The sequence below is a fragment of the Homo sapiens genome, chromosome 6 (assembly GCF_000001405.40).
Source record: "Homo sapiens chromosome 6, GRCh38.p14 Primary Assembly".
Taxonomy (NCBI): domain Eukaryota; kingdom Metazoa; phylum Chordata; class Mammalia; order Primates; family Hominidae; genus Homo; species Homo sapiens.
The window spans coordinates 116,398,792-116,422,990 of record NC_000006.12 but is presented as its reverse complement, the minus strand read 5'-3'; the positions used below and the strand labels follow the sequence as shown (position 1 = coordinate 116,422,990).

The 24,199-nt window shown below is 37.3% G+C and overlaps 1 protein-coding gene across 13 annotated transcripts in view, besides 4 other annotated features; it reads right to left on the bottom strand.

Annotated features, from left to right (window-relative positions):
- The window catches only part of DSE (dermatan sulfate epimerase), a 190,691-nt gene that overhangs the window by 21,871 nt on the left and 144,621 nt on the right, over positions 1 to 24,199 (bottom strand). For 10 of the 13 annotated variants that reach the window (NM_001374520.1, NM_001322937.2, NM_001374521.1 and 7 more), the window contains one exon: positions 23,325 to 23,793. Coding sequence is in view for 8 of the 13 variants with exons in the window: in NM_001322939.2 (NP_001309868.1) it covers positions 23,325 to 23,793 (469 nt within the window). In the remaining 5 variants the exon portion in view is untranslated. The remainder of the gene's footprint in view (positions 1 to 23,324; positions 23,794 to 24,199) is intronic. The other 3 variants (NR_136524.2, NM_001322940.2, NM_001322941.2) reach the window with 1 other exon arrangement.
- Positions 16,698 to 16,907: a silencer, noted in NCBI's record as "silent region_17494". NCBI's record gives its function as "represses an Ori minimal core promoter by ATAC-STARR-seq in GM12878 lymphoblastoid cells {active_cell/tissue: GM12878}" and the evidence as "EXISTENCE:reporter gene assay evidence [ECO:0000049][PMID:35858748]".
- Positions 17,871 to 17,920: an enhancer, noted in NCBI's record as "active region_24991". NCBI's record gives its function as "activates an Ori minimal core promoter by ATAC-STARR-seq in GM12878 lymphoblastoid cells {active_cell/tissue: GM12878}" and the evidence as "EXISTENCE:reporter gene assay evidence [ECO:0000049][PMID:35858748]".
- Positions 23,039 to 23,539: an enhancer, noted in NCBI's record as "H3K4me1 hESC enhancer chr6:116720615-116721115 (GRCh37/hg19 assembly coordinates)". NCBI's record gives its function as "activates a minimal SCP1, AML or CMV promoter by ChIP-STARR-seq in primed H9 embryonic stem cells {active_cell/tissue: H9 hESC(primed)}" and the evidence as "EXISTENCE:reporter gene assay evidence [ECO:0000049][PMID:30033119]".
- Positions 23,540 to 24,040: an enhancer, noted in NCBI's record as "H3K4me1 hESC enhancer chr6:116720114-116720614 (GRCh37/hg19 assembly coordinates)". NCBI's record gives its function as "activates a minimal SCP1, AML or CMV promoter by ChIP-STARR-seq in primed H9 embryonic stem cells {active_cell/tissue: H9 hESC(primed)}" and the evidence as "EXISTENCE:reporter gene assay evidence [ECO:0000049][PMID:30033119]".

The window sequence follows — 24,199 nt, the reverse complement described above, 5'->3', positions numbered from 1 at the left end:
TTAACTGAGGAAATATTTACACTATTCCTCTTTTGTAAACTACAGTTTCACCCCTTAGAGCAGCTGTTCTCAAAGTAAGGCCCAGGGAGGGGCTTCCGAGACTATTACATTTTAGAGAATTCACAAATAAGAATCATTTTCATAATAACGTAAAGATGTTATATGTTGATATTTGCACTGATGGTACAAAAGCAGTATTAAGTAAAACTGCTGTAACCTTAGCAAGAATCCAAGCAGGGGCACTAAACTGCCCTAGTAGTCCTTGTATGATTTTGCACTGCCATGCACTCAGGTTTTTGTTGTTGTTGTTGTTTAATTTTTAAAGCCAATTTTATTTAAAAATGTCCTTGATGAAGTGGTAAAAGTGATTAATCTTTATAAAATCTCAACTCTTTGAGTATACATCTTTCTAATATCCTATGTGATTAAACGGAGTACCAAAGTACAAGAACGTTACAAACAAAAGAAGTCATGCACTGAGTTGAGAGCTGAGCTAGCTCGGTTTTTTCATGAAACATTTTTACATGACAGAATGATCAACTGACAAATTATAGTTATCTCAATTTGGGTGTTAGCACAGAAATATTCTTGAAAATAAACAAGGAAGGCCTGCCAGTTCAAGGAAAGCTGAAAGCCTTTGTTGCCAATGACAAACTTGGAGCTTTCAACTGGAAATAAGAATTTTGGAAAATTTGCATCCACTACCAAGAGCTTAAGAGCTTACCAATACTTAAAGATTTTTCTGATGAAATCAGTAAGAACATCAACAAACATGATTTTTATATTGTATAATTAAATGTGTCAACATTCGGTAGACTGAAATAACTCAGTGAACACACATGCAAAATAACAAAGGCATGATGTTATAAAACCATGCACCGATAAGACAGCCACTCCTAAGTGTAAAATATGCCAATGGATTTTAATGTAAAAGAGTATGAAGAGTTCATTAACATGGCTTCAGATTCTATACTGAAATTAATTTTTATGGAACCACTATCAGTCAAGTTTTAGTGTAGCGTCAAAGAAGAATATTCACAATTATTTGAAAAGATTATTAAAATACTCCTCCCTTGTCAATCACATATTCCTGTGAGGCTGGATTTTCTTCACATACTTCAACCAAAAAAACACATAGCAACAAATCAAGTGCAGAAGCAGACACATAAGATTTGCAAAGATGTAAAACAACACCTTCCTTCTATTTTTTGTTTTAAAAAAATATAGTTTGGCTGGGTACAGTGGCTTATGCCTGTAATCCTAGTGCTTTAGGAGGCCAAGGTAGGAGGATTGCCTGAGCCCAGGAGTTCCACATAGCAAAACTGTCTGTACACAAAATAATTTTTTAAAAATTAGCTGGGCCTGGTGGCATGCACCTGAAGTCCCAGCTTAGGAGGCTGAGGCAGCAAGATTGCTGGAGCCCAGAAGTTCAAAGCTGCAGTGAGCTATGACTGCACCACTGCACTCCAGGCTGGGTGACACAGTGAGACCCTGTACCTAAAAAAAAAAAAAAAAAAAAAAAAAAAATATATATATATATATATATATGTATATATAGTTATTTTTTCCTAAAATATGTTTATGTTAATATGAAATGAGCTTTGACAATATATAAATATGAGTAAATGAACAAATAAATGTTTCAAACTTCTCAGTTTTAATTTCTAATATGGTAAACTTTGATAGATACAGCCCAAATAAACAAAGCTGTTTGATGTCCTCATTAATTTTTAAGAGTACAAAGTGCTTCCAAGTCCAAAAAGTTTAAAAACTGATACTTTGAATATTTTCAAAGGTGAATTTATATGAAATAAATTAATCTGAACACAGGAAAGAGCTATTGATTTTCTGAGTGTAAGGGTGGAATGTTGGTGGGGAAAGGCATAGAGTTTGGTCATGATGTGCTGTGTCTATGAATTAAGTTGTGATTCTGAAAGGAAGAATGAGCCATAACTATTTTTCCAAAGTTGAGCAGTCTCATTAATCCAAATTTTTGTACCAATTTTAAAGGGATAGACTGCTTCTATTATCATAAATGCTTTTTAAAATATTATGTATGGAGTATAATAGTTGGCAATCGAAGAAGTCTGTATCACTAAAAAGGTGACAGTTTATTTGATTAAATAACCATTAAAAGGAACCCTAAAAACAATGTTGCTATCTATTTTTATTGGTATAGATTTGAACTGCAAGTGATTAAATGCTTCTATTTTTAAAATTTTCATATAGTTTTGATATAGACAGTCTATAGAAAATAACTGCCTGTGAAAAGATTAAAATTTAACATTGCAAGGTTCACAGAATATTATTTAAATTTGTATACTGTTGTCTTAGCCCAGGCTGCCATAACAAAATGCCATAGACTGGGTAGCTTAAACAACAGAAATTTATTTTTTACAAGTTCTGGAAGCTGAAGGTCTGACATCAGGGTGCCCGCATGGTCAGGTTTTGGTGAGAGCTCTGTTCCTGGCTTTTAGAAGGCCGCCGCCATCTTACTGTGTGCTCACCTGGCCTGTCCTAGATGTATGGTGTGGGGATAAGGCAAGCGTGAGAGAGAGTGCACAAGAGTACAAGCTCTCTGGCACCGCTTCTTATCAGGGCACTTATCCTATCATGAGAGCCCCACCTTTAGGACCTCCATCTAAATCTAATTCTCTCCTATAGGCCCTTTTCTCTAAATACTTCCACATAAGGGGTTAGGGCTTCAATATAAATTTTGAGGAGGGTCCCATTCAGTTCATAGCAACTGTCTATTTAATTTACACAAATACTGCTAAAATAAACACTTACAATAAAAAGAAATTAGGTCTTTGAAAACAAAGATGTGCCAAGAGATCACTCATACTTATTTAAATTAATCAACAGTATACAAGAAACAAATACTAGAAACAATAGAACTCATAATTCCCTTTATAATTAATCCTATTTCCTAGTACTTTTCAGAACCTAACAACTTTATAGCAGGCTTTTCCATATGTAGCTATGCTCCAAAGATCACAATTTGATCCACAGTATAGGCAAATCTACATATTTTTTAAAGTGTATTTAAATGAGACTTTATGATTTGTCAGACCTTTCCAACAAAGGAGGATAACTCCAATAAAATGATCCATCTTCTTTTTCTCATTTTCAGAATAACTATAGTTTTACCAACCTATAAAATATTTACTTCGTAAATTCATAAAGTAGAAGATTTGCGTTTAAAATCTGATTTTATACAGTAGATAGTTATGGAACTACAAATTTAAGTTAAAATGAAACAAGCTTTACAAAAATTATAAATTTACATTCAGAACACAACAGTGAACTCCTTAGAAATTGCAAACTCTAAAAGTACCAGGGTAGTGCACCACCAGCTTCCCATTTGCCAGCTTTGCTGCAGCTGTGTCTACTGTACATATGCCACACCTCTGTCCACGTGCACTTGGGCACACCATTAAAATAGGCCAGAATTAGGTCAACTCTATTTTAAAAATGTAAATTATTCTATTCATTCTAAAAGTCTCCTGAACACAGTAACTTGATAGAAAACCATTTAACTTTCAACCAAACACCTTTGTGTGTTTGGAAACAAACTCCAATAAGTTAAGACAGTCATGTATTACCACTCCTTTTAAAAACATGACTAATGCAGTAGTGATTCATCTTTTTTCCCTCCATTTTAAATGTGAAAACTAACCATGAATGTTAAATGTTAGTAATATGTTAAATTTGGTATGGAATTCCTATAAATGTAGCTAAAGGGAAGTGGATTTCTCACCTCTGAGGCCTCATCTGTAAAGCACATTGGGTCTTGGCAGACATCTGCCAAGAGGACCAGATTAAGCCTGAAAGATAGAGACTTGATCTAGGAGGCTCTGAGTGGGTAGTCAGCAGTCCAAGGGGAATGTTCAGCTAATCTCTGGCCTGGCTTGGCGTCCATATTCCAAGTGTTTGATCAGGTGGCTAAAGGTTAGCACTGGCATTGTGAAGCAAAATGCACAGGGAGGGAAAGGAGAGGGGAGTGTACTTCATATTAATTAAGCACATGTTATGTGCCCAAGCCTCTAAGTACATTGTGTCATTTCATCTTCTCAACTCAACATTAGGTATTCCGTCCCCATTTTATAGGTTGTGAAAAAGCAATTTGGATAGGAGATTACTTGTTCAGAGCCACACAGTTAAACAGTGAAGCTGAGAATGGAATCCAGAATTATCTGAATTATCTGAATCTAGAATGGTTTTGCCTTCTTAGTGAGGGGAAGAACGGCGCTTTCAAAGAATGTCACCAAGTTTGCAATAAGAACTGAGCCAGAACATGCCAGAGTCAGTGGCTCTACCAAAAGCTAGGCAGAAGGGTCCAAGGGTTCTAAGCCTTGCCATTTTCATGACAGCAAGACAGAGCAAGGCATGAGATCTGAGAAAAGGGGCACACATTAGAAGAAGAGATACTGCCATTCTGTGCTCATGTGGTTGCTCAGGGCCCACCCAAGGAACATGAGACACCAATCATGTAGATTTCCTGAACAACTCTTTCCCTCCCTGATGAGCCTGCACACCTAATGTACTACTCTAAGGTAGAGTTGGTCCAGGGGATGGTGGTTCTGGTTTGCATCTTCAGAACCTTGGGCCCCTTAAGGTAGTAACAAACACTCTCTTCGTGATCAAACCCTAGCCAGGCTCCTCTGTGCCTTCTTGGCTAGGCCTCAACCTCATTCCATGAAGAGTAAACACTAACAAGTTTCCAATACCTCAAGGTCATATCCCTGAGATGACCCTCTCCCTGTTGAAAGTGTCTGCCTAAGAAACTCAAGGCTTCCAGAAAAATTTTGTTTGTTCCTGTCAACATTTGAGGATAGGGTCTCTGTCTTTCAGTCTCTGTGGGAGGATAGAATTCTACCCTCGATAATTGCCACTTAGCAGATGTGTGATTAGCTGGCCTAATCACATGTACATTGACTACCCTTTGTAATTTTTCTCTTTCCTGGCTCTACTAAGCCCCTGCTTGCCCTCCTCCCTTTAAAATGCCTATTCACCTCTGTACAAATTGACGTTCAGTTCAGTTTATGCTGAACTCTTTTCCTACTGAAATACTTACTACTGATTAAAACTTATCCTTGCCACTTTAGTGTCCGGTATTGTTTACCTTTGACACTGGCCAGGGCTAGAGTACACAGAAATGGACAATGAGCTTTCCTTTTTCAATATCTACTTTGGGAACAAAACTACTTGCCCTTTCTGGAAACAATTGCTAGAAGGATGAACGGTATGACAGAATGGGAACTCATTGTATATTAAGACTTTTTCAGGGAAAATAACTTATTAGCTCTGAAATGTAAAAAACTATTTCCTCTTACAATCTATATTTCTATATTAATTAAATCACTGGATTTAATATAGCAGTACATTACCACTTAATTTCATTTTAATGCTGTGAATTCAATATCCCAAATATTAAATTCTAAAATATATAAAATTTAAGTCAACTTGGCCCCACTCAAGCAGAATACTGAGGAGTCAATTATGCCAAAGCAGACATTAAAAGAAACACATTTTACTCAAATGAAAAGTATTCTAGATGATTTGTAAATAAAAAGAATCGAAGTGTCGGAATATACCAAGTTAATTAAAATAAAATGTAGAGTAGTACTGTTAAATGGGAAAAGGCATTTCCATGTCATTATCTCAATGTTTACTTCCATGACATGAAGTGTTATTACCCAAATATCCAAGCATGCCACCCAAACATAATCTATTTAAATGGAATCAAACAACATTTATAATTGTAATCCCTTTTAACTGAGTAAGTATACTTTGCCCTAATATTCAACCTACAAAAGGTGAGAGGAAGAAACATGATAAGTAAAAATTATTCAAATTTAGGAACAAGACCTCTATTTTGGTAGAATGGCATAGCTTAAAGACTACGGTTAAAAATACACTTACATATCAAATTCTAATGACAAATTCTTAAAGAATCTATTATAATGGAGAAATTTTAAAACCTGGAAAGGCAATAGGAGGGAATAACCAGGTCTGCCTATATTGTTCATGAAAATTATAATTTAATGATATTTACCCATTTTAAAAAGGAGCTTGATATTTTAAATGCCTAACATGTTTTACAACTGTATGTGTAAAATATGTTTCAAAAAGTTCAGCTGGACAACTTTTTGATGTTATCACTCAGTCAATGTCTATGCAAGCATCCAGTGATCATGTGAGAAGCCATACAGACAACTGCCAGTTAGCAATTGTCAGTAGTCAGTATGATTTTAAGAAAAAAAAAAATAAACATGCAAGAATAGCCAGGATGATGGACAGTGGCCAGTCCTGTCAGAGAAGAAAATATAATATATAAATGTTGGCTTGGGCAAGAACTGAGCAGTTATAATAACTGTATGTAGTTGACACATTTATTTATCTTATAAAAATTTAATATAAATTTTATAACACACAACATCAAAAATATACCATCTATTTTAAATATAACATGACTCCGGAGGACAAGAAGTCTATAATGAAGAATAAAAATCTAAAGATTCTGAACACCAAGTATTTCCCAATGAAAAAGATTTAATCAAACTATCAACCTTATAGTGCAGTCAAAAAGCTACACACACACACACACACACACACACACACACACACACACACACACAGTGGCAATTAGCTGTTTAGAACCTGTGACAGGCAAAATAACAGTCCCCCAAGAAACTGTGCATACATTACCTTCCACTGGGGCAAAGGGACTTTGTAGATATGATTTAAAACCTTGTGATGGGAGATTATTCTAGATTACCCAGGTGGTCCCAATCTAGTCACACGGGTCCTTAAAAGCAAAGAACCTTTCTTGGCTGTAGTCGGAGAGAGATGTGACCATGGAGGAAGAATCAAAGAGATGCAAGGTTGCTAGCTTTGAAGGTGGAGGCAGGGAGCTACAAGCAAAGGAATATATGTGAACTCCAAAAGCTAGAAAAAGGCAAAGAAAAGTATTCTGCCCTAGAGCTTCCAGAATAAAATGTAGCCCTGCTAACACCTTGATTTTAGCCCTGTGTTACACTTCTACAAAACTGTAAGATCACTCTGTGCTGTTTTAGGCCACTGAGTATGTGGTAATTTGTTACAGCATTTGTATGCATTTTTAGGCAGTCAAGGACTACCAGAGATTTGTGGAAATCCCATAATAGGACAAAAGAGACCCAAATGAACAAACTCATTAATGCAGCTTGGGAGAAATTAAACCATGCAGGCAGAAAGAAATTTCAAGACAAAAGAAGCTCTTGAAATGGAAAACAAAATAGCAGGAAGGTAAGTGCAATAAAAGGGCTGGGGAGAAAAGTTGAAGAAACCTTGAAAATGCAAAAAAAGTAAGAAAATAAAATAGAAAACAGCAGAGGAAAAAAAAAAAAGAGGACTGGCCCAAGAGGTTAAACATGTGAAAAAGAAGAGAGGAAAAAAAAAAGAAAGAAAAAAGAAAAAAGGGGGAAGAAAAGGAGATCCAAATATATCAAGGAAAATTGCTAGAACTAAAGGGGATAAGTTTCCATATTGAAAGAATCCATGAAGTGCACAGTACACAGACTCATCTCAAAACAAGATACATCATCCCGTAATTTCAAAACACTAGTAACATAAAAAAGATCCTATATGCTTCAGAGTGGAATATCAGGTTTCATTCAAAGCATCAGGAATAGTGGGGTCAGACATCTCAACAGCAACACTAGACACTAGTATACAATAAAACAATGACTCCAAAACTCAGAGAGACAATTTCCAGACTATAATTTCATATCCAGCCAAGCTACCCTTTAAACTTGAGGGAAGAAAAAACATATACAGACATCCAAGGTCTCAAAATTTACCTCTCATAAATGCTTTCTCTGGAAGCCAGTGGAAAATATCTCCACCTAAATTAGGATGTATATCAAAAAGAAGACATGGCACAAGGAATCCAATTCAAGAGAAAAAGGAACAAAGATGGCTGTACAGCAGACCTGGCTGCAAGCAATCCACATCCTAGCATGTCAAAAAGATGCAGCATTACTTCTTCAAAAAGATGAATTATTTTTAAAAAATGTCTTATTAAGAATGTCTTGTTTGAATAGATAGAAAACTTACACAAGAGTGAGAGTCTGGCTGGTCACTAGAGATAACCATATAAAAAACTTACCAAATAAAACAAAAAGCTATTATGAATCCAAGAGAAAACAAAGAGTTGTACACACATTGAAAAGTCATTACAGTATACAATATAGTTCAGTTGTCAATAACTTTTGCCTTGTTAAAATATGCAAACAGGCTGGGCGTGGTGGCTCACACCTGTAATCCCAGCACTTTGGGAGGCCGAGGCAGGCGGATCACCTGAGGTCGGGAGTTCGAGACCAGCCTGACCAACATGCAGAAACCCCATCTCTACTAAAAATACAACATTAGCTGGGCGTGGTGGCACATGCCTGTAATCCCAGCTACTAGGGAGGCTGAGGCAGGAGAATCGCTTGAACCCAGGAGGTGGAGGTTGCGGTGAGCTGAGATCGGGCCATTGCACTCCATCCTGGGCAACAAGAGCGAAACTCCACCTAAAAAAAAAAATGAGCAAACACTTGATATTCCACTCATTAAAATTATGGCATATTTATAAAATAAAACAGATCTATATTGTAATGAAATAACTTATCTGTGTCAGAGTGAGAGAGAGATGATGCATTTGCAAGCCAAGAACACCAAAGATTGCCTACAACCACCAGAAGCTAGGAGAGCAGCTTAGGATGGTCTCTCCTTCAGAGAGCCTCCAGAAGGAATGAAGCCTATTGATATCTTGATTTCAGACTTCTAGCTTCCAGAACTGAGAGAGAATAAATTTCTGTTGGTTTAAGCCACCTAGTCTATGGTATTTTGTTACAGCAGCCCTAGCAACAAATACACCGACACTAAAAAACCTGACCGGCCATTGCTGCCACCTCGTACACTCCCCATCATCTTCCTGTCGCTGCCTGAACACTCAGTTACTCCCATTTACTTGAAAGAGCACTTGCCTAATATTCTGAGAACACGGCAGGCAAAAGGGCAAAGAATTACTTGAGGAATGAAGTTTCAAAATAATGAGGGACACTTTTTCACAATGGGAAAAACCGTAGTCAAATCACCAATTTTTGCTGCCCTCATGGTGGGAAAACATCAAATCCAAAGTGAGGTAGGCCTGGAGGAGCTAGCATACGTGAAATGATATTTTGCTGTCTCTTAGAGTACGGTTAATATATTTACCCACTATTTCTGCTTTTAATGTTTTATGAATAATTTTCTTTGATAATTTGATTTTTAAAGGTTTTGCTGAAATTATGCAGAGCTTCATAAAATCCAGAGGCCTTTTTAAAACAGTGAATGAACTGTGGCTGATTTTACTCTGGGTGCAGTAGGAAATAATGCTCTGCACAGTTTATTCCATTCAGCCCCGGAAACCTGACATATAATCATTAATCACAGGCCTGTACTGTTTCTTAATGAAATAAAGATGCTTCCCAATACATTTTGAGAATAAGCATTCTAAACACTAGAATTATAGAATAAAGAGGGCATCTTAAAGAGTGGAATGGTCTCCACAGTGGAGATGTCCAAGAAAGGATATTGGGTAGGGATTCTCTGGAAAAAATTTTGTATTTATCAGAATGCTAGGCAGGGCTTTCAAACTATAAATATACTGTGAAATGAATATAATGGGTTGCAATCAGCATATTTTTAACGGAATGAAATAGAAAATGAGGACAAGGCATAATTTAAATGCAAGGGCTATCTCATGAAACATTTATTTATATATTTATATATGTAAAGTTGAAGTTATGTGTGCATCAGCTTGTGCGTCCACTGCACTACTATTTACAACAGCAAAAACACAGAATCAACCTAGGTGCCCATCAATGGTGGATAAAGAAAATGTGGTACATATACATTATGGAATACTAGGCAGGCATAGAAAAGAATGAAATCACATCCGTCGCAGCAACATGGAGCTAGAGGCCATTATCCTAAGCAAAGTAATGCAGACACAGAAAACCAAATACCACAATACCGCATGTTCTCACTAGTAAGTGGGAGCTAAACATTGGGTACACATGGACATACAGGAACAAAAGACAGTGGGGACTACTAGATGGGGGAGGGAGGGAGGGAAACAAGGGTTGAGAAACTTCCTATTGAGTATTATGCTTACTACCTGGGTGTCAGGATAAATTGAATCCCAAATTGCAGCATCACACAATATACATACTATGGAACTGCACATGTACCCCCTAAATCTAAAAGTTGAAATAAAAATAAACAGTGTAATAAAATTAGAAACAAAAATAAAATTAAAAACTAGAAACAAATAAAAAAAGTTATGTCTGTACTGGGTTGTTTGTTACTGTAGGTCACAGTGAAAAAGTTTCAAAGCCACTGTCTTAGAGGGTAAATGTGATCCAAAATAAGCCACCCATCAGAGGCATGCTGCTGGCATGGAGGGCTGCTTCAGTGGGAGGAGCTGTGTTGAAATCCAGGCTGCCCAGGCACTTCCCAGCAGAGGGTCTGGAGCCAGGACTAAGACAAAATTCTCACTGTGAGATCATCAGGAGGAACCCAGGAGATCAGAGAAGTTCAGAATGTTCAAAGTAGAGGGCAGATGGTGTTGTATGAAGGGGGCAGGCATGAAGACACTAAATGGGCTCAGTCAATTCAGGAAGGAAAGCATAATTTGTCATGGTGTGGAAAAAAAAAAACAAGAAAAACATCCCTTGACCTCCAAAACAATTTTGTTTGTCTTTGAAGCCACTTACATTCAAGAGAAATAATGAAATAATGCCTGTGACAACACCCTGAACCCATAATATTTATTTTTTGTCCTGGGAATACAGTTTCAAAGAATATGTCTTTAAAAAGTAATTTGGCAGTACAGTGGATAAAAGTTAATTTAGAACTTTTCTTTGTGAATCATAAAAAATGTTGTGGGGTATAGTTATCTCCTATGTTGCCAAAAAAACAGAATAAATAAATTAAAATTATGAGCCAAACTTGTGAGCTAACTTCAATATGCCCCAGGCATTAAACACATTCCCCAGTTTTAGATCTAGAGTTACTGCTATACTGAAAATAAAAGTTGACCCCAAATGCTGAATGTAATCATATTGTCCCAACTTCTCTGACCAAGTTACAGGTTATAGTAGAAAAGCAGAAGGCAAAAGATTCAAACTGGTTTCAGTAATACTTTAAAATATTTCTCATATCAACAGGCTCTTGGAAAAAGGTAAAATAGTAAACTTCATGTGGTTTCTAGAAATTATGATTTAGAATGGGAAGATGCTGAAGTTAATATAAAATATTAGCAATACATACAGATTTTATTTATTCTTATCTCTTCATTTCCCAATTTTTTTCTTGTAATACTGAACTCACTGTAAATGAATCACAGATATGAACTAAAAATTGCTCACTAAGTTGTTACAAGCCCTAATAGCTATCTACACTTCATCAGGAACCTTTTTTCTTTTTCAACTTGAGAAGCAGCAGCACGACTCACTCAAGCTGATGCCCTCCTCCCAGAGTGCAGCCTGCACAATGTTTCTTTGGCTTCAGCTCCAGAAAGTGATTTGAGGACACCCACGTGGCTGCAGTGCTGTATCAGCACCTCGATTTCTCATTCTTCCAGCTATTCTTCATTTATTTATTGTAGCAGGATAATTTGAACTAAATACGATCTCCTTTGGACTTTCTGCATTTTTCTATCATCAACAGAAAGGATATATATTGTACCTGAAAGCATATTTCATATTGGATATATTTTTTTATGACTGAGACACACACACGCACAACACACACACACATACACACACCCATTCTTAAGTTACAGTGTACCACTGGCAAACAGGAAGCAGCTAAAAATAAAGCTTGAGAGATATAAATTGGATATCTCCTCTTGGGCCCACAGGCACTTCAATTCTGTATATCCAAATCCAAACCTTTATTATTTATAGCATTCCTCAATAGCTCCAAGTATTAGAAGCCCACTGAGAGATCCCACCATCCCATAAAGAAAATTCTTTGTCTCCTTTGGCCCTCAAATACAACTGTCAAGTCTTATGAATGCTAATTATTTATTACTGGAACTTGTCAATTATTTCCTATTCTAGGTTTTCATTTAGATAAACACCAAAGGCCTACTTGACTTCCTGGTTTGACATTGGCAATCTACTCCCACAACAAGATTCTTCTTCTTCTTTTTTTTTTTTTTTTTTTTTTTTTTTTTTTTTGAGACAGAGTCTCGCTCTGTCGCCCAGGCTGGAGTGCAGTGGAGCGATCTTGGCTCACTGTAAGCTCTGCCTCCTGGGTTCACGCCATTCTCCTGCCTCAGCCTCCCCAGTAGCTGGGACTACAGGCGTGTGTCACCACACCCAGCTAATTTTTTTGTATTTTTAGTAGAGACAGGGTTTCACCGTGTTAGCCATGATGGTCTCGATCTCCTGACCTTGTGATCCGCCTGCCTCTGCCTACCAAAGTGCTGAGATTACAGGCGTGAGCCACCACGCTCGGCCTGTAGATTTTTTTTGAAGCCTTAAAAGACATTTAAAAAATGAGCAAGATTAAATGATAATGCCTAGAGATGCACATTTGGATGAACTATAAGGGAACACAAGGACATGACGCCTGTAGGCACTGGGGCATCAGGGTAGTCTTTGTGGGAAGGGAGGGAACTGGGACTGGGATGTGGCCCATGAAGGGGCTTCAGGGAGTGACTGGCAAAGTCCTATTTCTTGACCTGTGTTGTACTTACCAGGGTGTTTGCGTCAAAATACTTTATCAGCTACACATTTATTCATATAATATTCTACTTTTATTTTTCAATGAAAAGGTTAACGTACATACATAAATCTGATCATGTCACTGCCCTGTTACACCTTTCAGTGGCTTCACAGTACTTGTAAAAAAAAGTCCAAGCTCCTTTATATAGTAGACAAGGCCTGGCAGCATCTGGCTCTCTACCCAAAGCCTCAACACTTGCTAGTTTCCTCCCTACACTAAATTTTCAGTTCCTCAAAAGCACTCTGCTTTCTTTTATCTCCAGGCCTTTGTACAGCAGCTACTTGTGCTTGAACAGTCAAGCACGGCTCCTTTTTCCCCTTCACGTGGCTGGTTCCTATCTGTCCTTCAGGACTCAGCAGGAAAGCCTTCCCTGACACTCCAATGTTGGGCAAAGTATTCCTAGATCTTCCCATTACACACTGTAGTTTCCCAGTCACAGCACTTATCCCACTACTAGTATTAATATGCTAATAGTATTAGTATTTATATCTTCCATAGACCAACAACTCCAGGCAAAAGAGATACATAACACGTCTTGAAATTTTTGTATCTCCAATGCCTAATAAAATACCCAGAACAGAGCAAGTATACAATAAACTTATATTGGCCGGGCGTGTTGGCTCACGCCTGTAATCCCAGCACTTTGGGAGGCCAAGGTGGGCGGATCATGAGGTCAGGAGATCGAGACCATCCTGGCTAACATGGTGAAACCCCGTCTCTACTAAAAAAATACAAAAAATTAGCCAGGCGTGGTGGTGGGCACCTGTAGTCCGAGCCTACTCGGGAGGCTGAGGCAGGAGAATGGCATGAACCCAGGAGGCGGAGCTTGCAGTGAGCCAAGATCACACCACTGCACTCCAGCCTGGGCGACAGAGCGAGACTCTGTCTCCAAAAAACAAAAAAACAAAAAAACAAATACAGTAAACTTATATAAAGTGAATATGTGCATACATTTATCGATAAATGAAAATTGCCTTTGGCATCAATTTATAAGAACACAAAATATAAGTGAAGTAATAAAGATAACAATAATAGTTAACACATTATGCTATGTACTGTTTCATTAACTAATCCTTCATAGTATGAAGTATATATCATATATATCCCCAAATTACAAATGAGGAAACTGAGCCACAGAGAAGTCAAGTAACATTCTCAAGGTCACACAGCTCATAAATGTAATTGGAACACTGGCAGACTGGCTCCACAGTCCTTGCTCTTAATTCCAACAAACTATCGCCTCCCCTTGCTTAACAGCACCGCCATTCATTTCAAAGACTGAAGCAGGTGGCTTTAAAGTGAATAAAAACAAAACTCTGTTGTAGTTACCTGATAAGGAGCACACATGGACATTACATGCATGTAAGAAGATGAACACCAAAATTCAAGGGATCAGGGAGGAGAGAAGGCCAGGTGCAGGAGGAATACTTCAAAGACCAGGTAATCTGAGATTCTCTGCTGAGCTATGCACCAAGATGTCAAATCCTGACATTCTTCCTACTGGCCTCCAAGTACGTCAAAGGTACAGTGTCTCTGTGATTACAGGCTGACAGACAAACGGCTGATGACAGGCACGTCTTCAGAGTGAAAGTGAGACCAGATAAGTAGGAGCAGCCACAGTACGCAGGGCACCAAATCAGTTTCAAAGTTGTATACAGATCCAGGACTTCTGCTCTCAGTAAGCTTAGACTCTCAATAAAAATAAGACAGATTATTCATTCATTCATCCATCCATTCATTCAATATAATTAATTAGTGTCTTTGTGGCAGGTATACCATATGTGGCTCTTGGAACCCCGAAAAATGCTGGGGCTACCCTCAATAAGCTTATGTGCCAGTAGAGGAGACAAATAAACCAAGAATTGCAGTGCAGGCAAAACAACCTATAACAGTTTTGCATGGGTTCCTTGGAACATATGAATCACACTGGAGGGTGGGTATAGAAGATGGAATCTGGAAATTTTCTAGAAAGAAGTTTCTTTGGAGCCGAATCTAGAAGATGTACACTCCTGGTCAGAAAACCAGGCAACCCAGTTATGACTGCAAACCAATGAATTAAATAAAAAGTAACTATAGGAATTGGGTTGGATGAGGGGCTAGAGAACATGTAATGGTGGAAGAAGTTAAGGTGGATCATACAGTCTGGATAGGGTTGGAGAGAAAGGTGGAAGACAAGGTATAAATCAGTCTGTAGGCAGAAAGGCCAGCTCAGGGCTGATCTGCAAACTCATTACTGCCCAAACTGAAGGCAGAGTTGAAAATACCAGTGCCACATGGTCCAACTGGACCACTGGGAAGACCACACATAAATACCTATCAGTGAAAAGCTTTAAAACAATAAAAATCACAAAATTCTAGAAAAAAATGTAAAAAATCTCTAAGCTCTGGATGGGTGAAAATAGATTGATCTTTTTTATTTATCAAAGGTACTTTTTCCTGAAGAGCTCACTTACATTCAAAAATGACAGAATCACCAATAGCAAAATGCATTCGTAGAGTGGCAAGAGTGAAGAACAGAGCAAGGGGAGGGAAGAGAAAAATGACTATGGGTAAATAATGAGCATAGTAGCAGCAGTGAAGCCACAGAACAAGAAGAAGTGGAAGACAGTGAATTTGTAAGAATGAGCAGATATGGCCAAGAGGTCCTAAAAGTTATAGTAATAACTATACACCAAGATACCTGCTAAGGTTATCTATGAGCCCTTGCAGTGTAATAGGGACAGAGAACTTTGAAAGTCATCTGTCCATACAGTTGGCAGTATCAACAAAGTGAGACAAATAAAGTAGATAGAAGAAATAGAGTGACACAAAAAGACATGTAAAAAAGTGAACCATCTTTTCTCTCCCACAAACCACTCTCTCCTCCCCATATTCTCCATCTCATTTGAGTATCAATATGCAACCAGTCACCCAGGGCCATCATTTATGCCTCCCTCTCCCTTACAATTTAAGTTTTAGTACATCTAAGAATCATATAGAGGACTTGTTAAAAATGCAGGTTCTGTGGCCTACTCCAAGAAGATATGATTCAGTGAGTCTGGGCGAAACCCAGGAATCTGTCTTTTTAAGGATACCCAATATGGTGAAAGACTCACACTTTAAGAAAGAGTGTCCTATATCTGATCAATCTCTGTGTAGATTTTCAGTCTTATATGTCTCTTAAATTTATACTTTCTTCTCCCCACCCTCACTGTTTTAACTGTGGTCTTCATTTCCCTCCTACACTAATATTATAAGCTTCTAACCGTTTCTTTTTTCCTGAGTCATTCCTTCCAAGCCATCCTAAACAGAAAGCTTTCTAAACCACAGGCTTATGTGGGATAAGCAATGATCTGGCCCCCGACTATGGTATCTCCTCCTGTGCTGTCCAGAACTCGCATGTTGACACTGGAAAGGAAAAGGAAAGATGGATGAGAGAGACTGTGGTAAGCATGACTGAAATGTGTTCCCTTAATGGACATGGCAGAAGGAGACAAAGAAGTAAAAAAGCCATTCTTAAGATACCTAAGGTAAAAGGAACTACCCAGCTTTATAAAGGACTCCATGAACATACTCATGTCATTATTACTCTCAAGTTATCATTAGCATGAACTTAATGTCAGCAAGACCCTACATCTTAAGTGGTGTTAGGCGTGAATATTTCATCCAAAAAATAAAGCCAACTTTTAAAAAGTGATTATGAAGTATCAATGAAAGAGAATACAGACATACATGCGGCACTTGCCAACTAACATTTTCCCTTATGATAATGAGGCAAGACATCCACAAAATTCAAACATCATGCTTGCCAGATTTTTATGTTAGAAAAATTTAAGACCCAGATTGTAAAGACTACATGAAACTTAATATATTCATGTTGCCTTTGTTCATATGGGGTGAGGGGCACTGATTTATACCCCAATTAAAGAGGGACGAGAACTCCTCTGGCCTTGAGCACAGTTCCCTCTGACAACTCTGAAAGCCCGCCCATGTTGCATTTAAAAAGGTATCAAATGACACTGAAAGGGCGGGAGGTAGGCGAGCAAGTGAGTCACCCATCGCAGAGATGACTTGAGGGTCATACCAATACTGAATCTTAGAGTCAATAAACATATCTTACAAAGAAAATTAACTTCGGATTTCCTTTCAATCATGTATGATTTATAACTGTCATAACATTTTTAAAGTTATTGTTAGAAAGAAGCATTATTAGAGTAACTTTATCTTCACCTGCATTTGAAATAGATGGGGAAGAGTTTAAATTAGTTGAGTCCTAACAATTTAGGTGAGCAGAACATCCTATTTAGGGTGTGACTGTGCACCACACAACTGTCCAATGGCACTGTAACTGGGCTGCTCAACTAATCTGTACACCTGCCTATGCCTCTCCCTCGGGTCCTCTTCATCTGCTTCCTCCCACCACAGGGCACCTGACCTTGATTCCTGCCCAAGAATCCATTTGTAACACTGATGGCAACAACCTGCTTAATAAACGGCATTCAAGAAGTGAATTCCCAATGGCTGTGTGTTTCTGTAAATTTTAAATAATTTGATCGTTGTAAAAAGCCTCATAAGTTATTTTACCCTTCTATAGTATTTTTAAGTCTCTGCAGCAGCATAAAAGGGAATAGCTTCCCTTAGGTCACAGAATGAAAAGAACAGAGAAAAAGAGAGGCAGAAAGAGTGAGGGGGAAGGGTAAGAGAAAGGGAAAAACATGAATGAGAAAAAGCCAGGGGAATTAGAGGCTGGGTTTTCTGACAGCCCAGCATTTGTCTCCACGAGTCCACTTTAATGGATTCCAGGTGCATTCTGGGCTAAGCCGCCCAGCCTTCCTCACTGTAAGGTCATGAGAAGAAAACCTGATCTTTTTACTCACAGGGCTGTGGCTCCACATGTTTGAGGCCCAGCTACATTCTCCCGGCTTTTGATTTTCAGTTTTAACTTGCAATTTTGAGAAGTGAAAAACCCGAGAAACAGCTGCAGAGAACTGCATTTGAAGCCCAGCAGGCAATGCTGAGCAAGGCAGGCACACTCCTCATTTTCATACGTACAGCAATGAAACTGGTTCATTTCAATATGCTAGAGACCTTTTTTCTCTCTTTATATTTTATAATTATATTTTATTTTTGCAAATACACCCTCGGATGACACCATCCAGAAGTTTGCAATCACAGGCAAGAATTTAATACTCAGTCTGTTGCAAAAAAAAAAAAAAAACACAATTACTTCTCTGTCCAAAAGTTCAACTTTCTTTGTTTCCCTCACCAGTTCTCCTGATTTCCTGTAGCTAACTGGCTCCAATGCAAGAGTGAAGTAATTTCTTTCCTCTGTGATTTATTTTCTGTCTGATGATAAGTAAGGAAAAATACTATAAAGAGAGAACTAAAGAGTCACAACAAATACTTTTCAAAAACACAACTCCAGAGTGACAACATAGCTAAAATGGAGTACTGTGTACCAAGAAACCTAGCGAGAATAAAGTTATATATTCGTAACTATTCCTGTGTAATAATAACAAACTTTTTAGTAAAACTATGTGCCAGGCACATAATGCTAAGAGCTTTATATGCATTACTTCATTCAATCCTTGGGATGACCTTGTGTGGGAGGAATAACCCATATTTTACAGATGAAGAACCAAGTTTACAGAGTGTAAGGAACCTGTCAAAGGACATGTGGCTAACACAATGGCAGAGCCAAGATGCAAGGACAGATCCAAAGACCACTGGGCCAGACCTGTTCCTCAGGGTTTACAAATTAAGACAAGGAGCCATGAAAAGCCTGCTGCTTGGAAATGGATGCTGTATAATTCTATGTTATCAACCAGGGCTTGAACAATAAGTGATCTCAGTTACAATCCTATCCTAAACCTCTTTTAAATGCATTCATCTTCCCATATTATTAAGTGAAATATGGTAAACTTAACTGCACCTTTCTTAAGTGATTCAGGATCTGTAATGTTTTCCAATAATTATTTGAGTACATTTTGTTTGTTTGTTTTTAGCTCCGGAAAATCACTAAGAATTTGCTGAGGAGTGTAATGTTAAGCTCATAGCAACCCATCTACCAAGAGCTTGGCTAAGATTCATAAGGTATAGGGAGGCTGCCTGGTGGACAGGCAGTCATTTCATTTTTCTACACATGCAAAATTCTACCAAAGGATTAAGCTAGATTAGGAAAAAAGTAGCCTGGGCTACCCCATATATCCATCCTTTTCACCACCCCCACTCCCTCCCTGATCAAGGTTTTAGTAAACTTTGCTTTGGAGATCCTCCATCGAGGGATACACATATGAGCAAAACAGGCATGGTCCCGCTCTCAGGTCAGTCTGGTGTAAAGAAATAACACTGTGCAATTCATCATACGTACACTGCAAGGATGAGAAGGCTGCGAGGGTTCTTCATAAAAGCCCTATGGGAAACTTCCTTCTGATCCTTGGGCCAAGAGAGTAGTCAGTTCTACAGAGTAACTGATCCCATAGTCACTGTAAACTTCAATATTGACTAAGCCTACTTTCTTTGCTACGAAAACCAACCAACCAACCAACCAAACCCCTCAGTGTCCACCTGTGGCCCACTCATGGTGCGTTTTAGATGCCTTTTAGCAACTGTCACATTCCTTGTCCAGTCAATGTCTCCAGTCTTTCCCCCCTCTTTTCTTTCTCAGCTACTTCTAATTTGAAGCACAATATTTTATGCTTCCTTAATCTTCTAGGGGAAAAGTTACAGTAGAACTTTATTGCTGATATTTTTTATTAAATTAAAATTATTAAATTTTATTAATTTAATAAAATTTATTAAATTAAAATTATTATTGCTGATATCTTTGCCATTGTAATTTTTAATAAAGAATATTTTGCCATTATATATTGGATTAAAATAATACCTTTTTAATTTTACTTTTAAAACTAAGTTCAGCACAAGCTCAAATTACTCTGTTACTTTTACTGTAATGAAGAATGTGTGTTCCTTAGCAAAAGGGAGAGAAACGGGGGAGAGCTTCTGAGATAGGATGCGAGCACCTCTGAAAAAGTAGATAAAGCATATAGATTAGTCTCATCATTCTGCGGTGCCCAGTCGTCTGGATACTCAGAGACACACACAATAAAAATGCATGCTGTTATTTTTCAATCACCATTATAATTATAAATCTATGAGATTCCCGTTCTACTTTGTAGGCTATTAGATGGACAGAGTACAATTGAATATTTTCCCTTTAACGTTTCTGCTTCAGAATTCTTAAGTGAATCTATAGAGGTGAACTTTAACCTCTTTATTTACTATTCAAATGAAATGAACCCCATTAATAAATTTGTATGCATGTATATCTCATAGGCACTTCTTTTTAATACCAGACAAATGACACATCATTGTTACTTTCCACTAAACCTTCTTCATTGGTGTTAACATTAGATTCTTGTATACATTTTAAAAAGGGCCCAGGGGAGCATCAATGAACGTTTTAATGGAAAAAGCCAAGGGGAAAATTTTATGAGTTAAACAGATGTTCTAGTTTTGAGAGCAATTAAGATTAGTAAAATCCTAAATGGATACTATTTCCTTGGAGCCTACATATACCAAATTATAAACCAAACAGGGTCTAATTACTAGGTAGGTAAAAGAACAGCATCAATAATTACCATTATTGTCATTATTCTCATTTACTGAGGGCTTACTATGAGACAAGAACTGTGCTAAGTACTTTACATTGATTATTGCACTTAATCTTCCTAGCAACCCTATAAGGTAGATAGGGTTGTTACTGCCACATTATACATCAGGACACTAATGCTCACGCAAATTAAGAAAATTAATCTGGAAAGTTAATTAAGAAAATTAACATAGCTGAAGAGTGAGGGAGCTGGGATTCAAAGGCAGTGTGACTCCAGAGTTGGTGCTTTTCTACCACACTAGGGTGCAGCATGATACAAATGTTTAAGTCATGAATGAAAACTAAGGAAACTCCTTATGAAATGATCCACACACTCAATTCTGAGCAGAGAAAATATCCTTAGCTTAGGCTTTAAGAACCCAATGTTTGTACCCTTTGCCATAGGTAAAAATTATAAAATTACTGGGCTATTTCTTCAACTTTGAATCCCCAGCACCCTAGCACAGTGCATGATACACAGTAGATGCTCAATAAACGTTTGTTGATCAAATGAATCAGTGAATGAACATAACTTAGTAACTGGCTTTCAAAAGAGTAAAAATGCTCTTCAAAGAAAATGGAAAATGCATTCAGCCTGATGAAGCTATTGTAGAAAGTTTTTTTTTTTTTACTTTCATAATATCAATTATTGATCTCTTTTGTAAGTAACAGCTAGTTTTTTGTTTTTGTTTTTTCTGAAATCAAATATAGGTGAATTATATCCTAAGTCAATGACAATACTCATTGTGTACTTCTTGGTACATAGTGAGAATATGATTTAATGGAGCAATTGAAACAGAGGTAGTTGAACTGTAAAATCACTGAACATTGTTTTAAATTATTACAGCACATAATTGTGTTGTAATTGTGTTCAACCACAAATCTAAATGAAAGTTTAAAAGTCTAAGGGTTGGGTGTGGTAGTTTTTAAGAAGTTAAAATTTCTGTGAAGTTATTAAACAACACAACTTAATAATAGTACCTGCCAAAACAAAATGTTCAAGTAGCTCAACTTTCTAAGCCAAGTTCACTTTTGCAACTAGAAACCAGATGTAAAGGTAAATTCTCAAGATTTTACCTTGAAGGTCAAGAGAAAGAAGTCAACTGTTCAGCTCTATTAAGTCAAAAATTGGCTTTTAGTTTACTAGATAATGGCCTAGAGTTATACCTATTTCTATCAATATTGCCATGAATAAAGTACTAGACCCCTAGTAAGTTTCTATACACCTCCAGTGATCAATAAATCTGGACTTGTGGAAACTATGTAAAAATTATAATATTTCTTTCAAGTTATTTATTTCTCTTTTCATAGAAGGAGTCTCATCCTAATGGCAGCATTCATTCATTGGTATTTATATACCCAAATATTTTACATTATAATGAGAAAACTGTACTAGTCTTGTACAATTCTCATGTTACTGTATTGTGCTAAACAATCTCCATCAAAAATGGTATTTCACAGTCCATTACTTTCTTGTGAGATTAAATACACGGTTCTCTACAGGCTCTATCTCTGGAACATTTACATCAATTTCTTAATTTGCCAAAATCTACTTATCTAAAACAAAAAGGACTTTAAAGTACCCTTCTAGATGACAAAGGTTTCTTTCTAAATAATGTAAATATGGTTGCTATTTTAAACTAATTGAACAAATCAATCAGTGAGTTACTGTAGCATTTGATAATGTAATCTGGTAATTCAAATATCAGATAAGTTTTCATACATCTTTTCTTTCTTGGTGTCAAGAATAGAATAAGATCAGTTAATGTCAGTCAAAGTCAGAAACAACTACATACATGGCTAAGCTTTGAAATAAATCAAATAAAAAATTCTTTTCAACCTACAATATTATAAACTTCAAAATGACTACATGTACTTAGCAACAGGCCTAAAATATCAGCTCTGATATGGATTTAATGCCAACTCTTGCATAATACTTTTCATTACAAAATTCCAGAAATTTATCGGAAAGCTTGCAAACCACCATCCTTCACCCCTGTGATATGTTAAGATGTAATTCATCATAGCATTAGGTGCATTCACTGATTTTTTTCTAAGCATTTAAAATGAGCTCTCTCTAGCCCTATGACAAGAGGCAGCTTATGTAATTTTTTAAAAAAATTTCATCAATCTGTAAATTCTTTTATTGCAATTGAACCATAAATGTGTATTTAAAAATTGCATGAGTAAAAACATCTGTAGAATCCCTTGTTTAATCAACTCATCCCATATCTGTTTGGAAGCATATGAAGCATTAATTATAAATTAATCAAATAAATTTAAGCTAATCGAAAAGACAGGAATTTGTTCTCAAATCTTAAACTTCGAAACTAAATTATTATGTAGTTAGAATTCCTCACACAATTACACAATAATGTTGGTTTTCCTACAGGTCTCAGAAATCTGCTGGTTATTGGAGGGGATGTGTTTATAAATTGCCAGTCAGTCCCATCCCATTCACATTTAGTTCCTTACGATCATAAAATGCAAGTAAGTCTTAATTACTTGAAATGTCTTGCTGCAAAATGTTTTAACTACTTGGGATCAATCAAACCTAACACCAGATGATAGTAATATATACATGCTGAATATGGAAGAAAGAATTCTCAGCAATCACGATGATACTCTTTACTCAATTCAGCAAATTATTTTTTCTTTAGATTAGGCTGCATCTAAATATTTTCCTTCTAACTTTAAACATGGAAGTTACTACATCTTTTGAAACTAAGGGCCATTCATAAGACTGGCAACACAAATAACAAATAACACCTCCCCCCACACACATACACAAAGAGGTACATGAAGATCTGGCCACTGAGATGTCATATGGATTTGTTTCTTTCTAATGCAGAGTTACCACAGTAAGAAGAACAAGACAAAAATCTACCAACTAGGCTGCGCTGCCATCCTCTCCATGTAGTCTTTGGCCATGTCTCGGGCTTCAATGTTCTCAGGATACAGCACACAGAACATTGCCAAGGCACCCAAGTTGTTTCCAAAAATTTCATTCCAGCGGGCACTGTAGTCCTTGGGATCCCAGGGAGGGAGGTATTCCAAGGGGCTGGACAGCATCGTGTGCACAGCCTCCGTGAGGCGGGCTGCAATGTGCTCGTGCGAGCTGGCAGCCCTGAGCTGCAGCTCCGCCACTTCTGCCCTGGAGAAGTACAGCATGGGATGGCTGTCGTAGTTGGCATTGGTGAAGGGAATCATAACTTCTGGGTTCTCGTCGGTGATGTAGGCTGACACAAAGCAAAGCAAATATATGAAAAACACACTGGGAGCCCCCCGTGTGTGAGTCCTCATCGTGGCATCAGATCTCCAAATCTCCAAGGCAGCCAAACCATCTTCGAAAGATCCTACGTGAGATAAAAAGGAAAAAAAGTGTCTGTCAGCCAAGGGAACATGGCACAGGTGTGGAAACATATAAGAGGTAGAAACCATATGTGAAAATAAAGCTTATGAATTTAGATTTTTAAAAATACAACAAAAAAATTTAATTAGGAAGAAAATTACTAAAGTTCTGATTTTATAGAGTTAAACATACTACATCAGAATTGTATTCATTATGGAAAACAGAATTTTGGACTAAGGGAAAATGTATAATATTTGTTCAAGTAAGGAAAAAATTATTCTTGGTATTCTTCTCACATAGTATCATGCAAAAAACATCACATGGTATATTTTTTTAGACATTAATACATAAACCACAATAACCAAAAGCTGGTAATGAACAATCATCTGGGAATCTGAGTAGACATTACA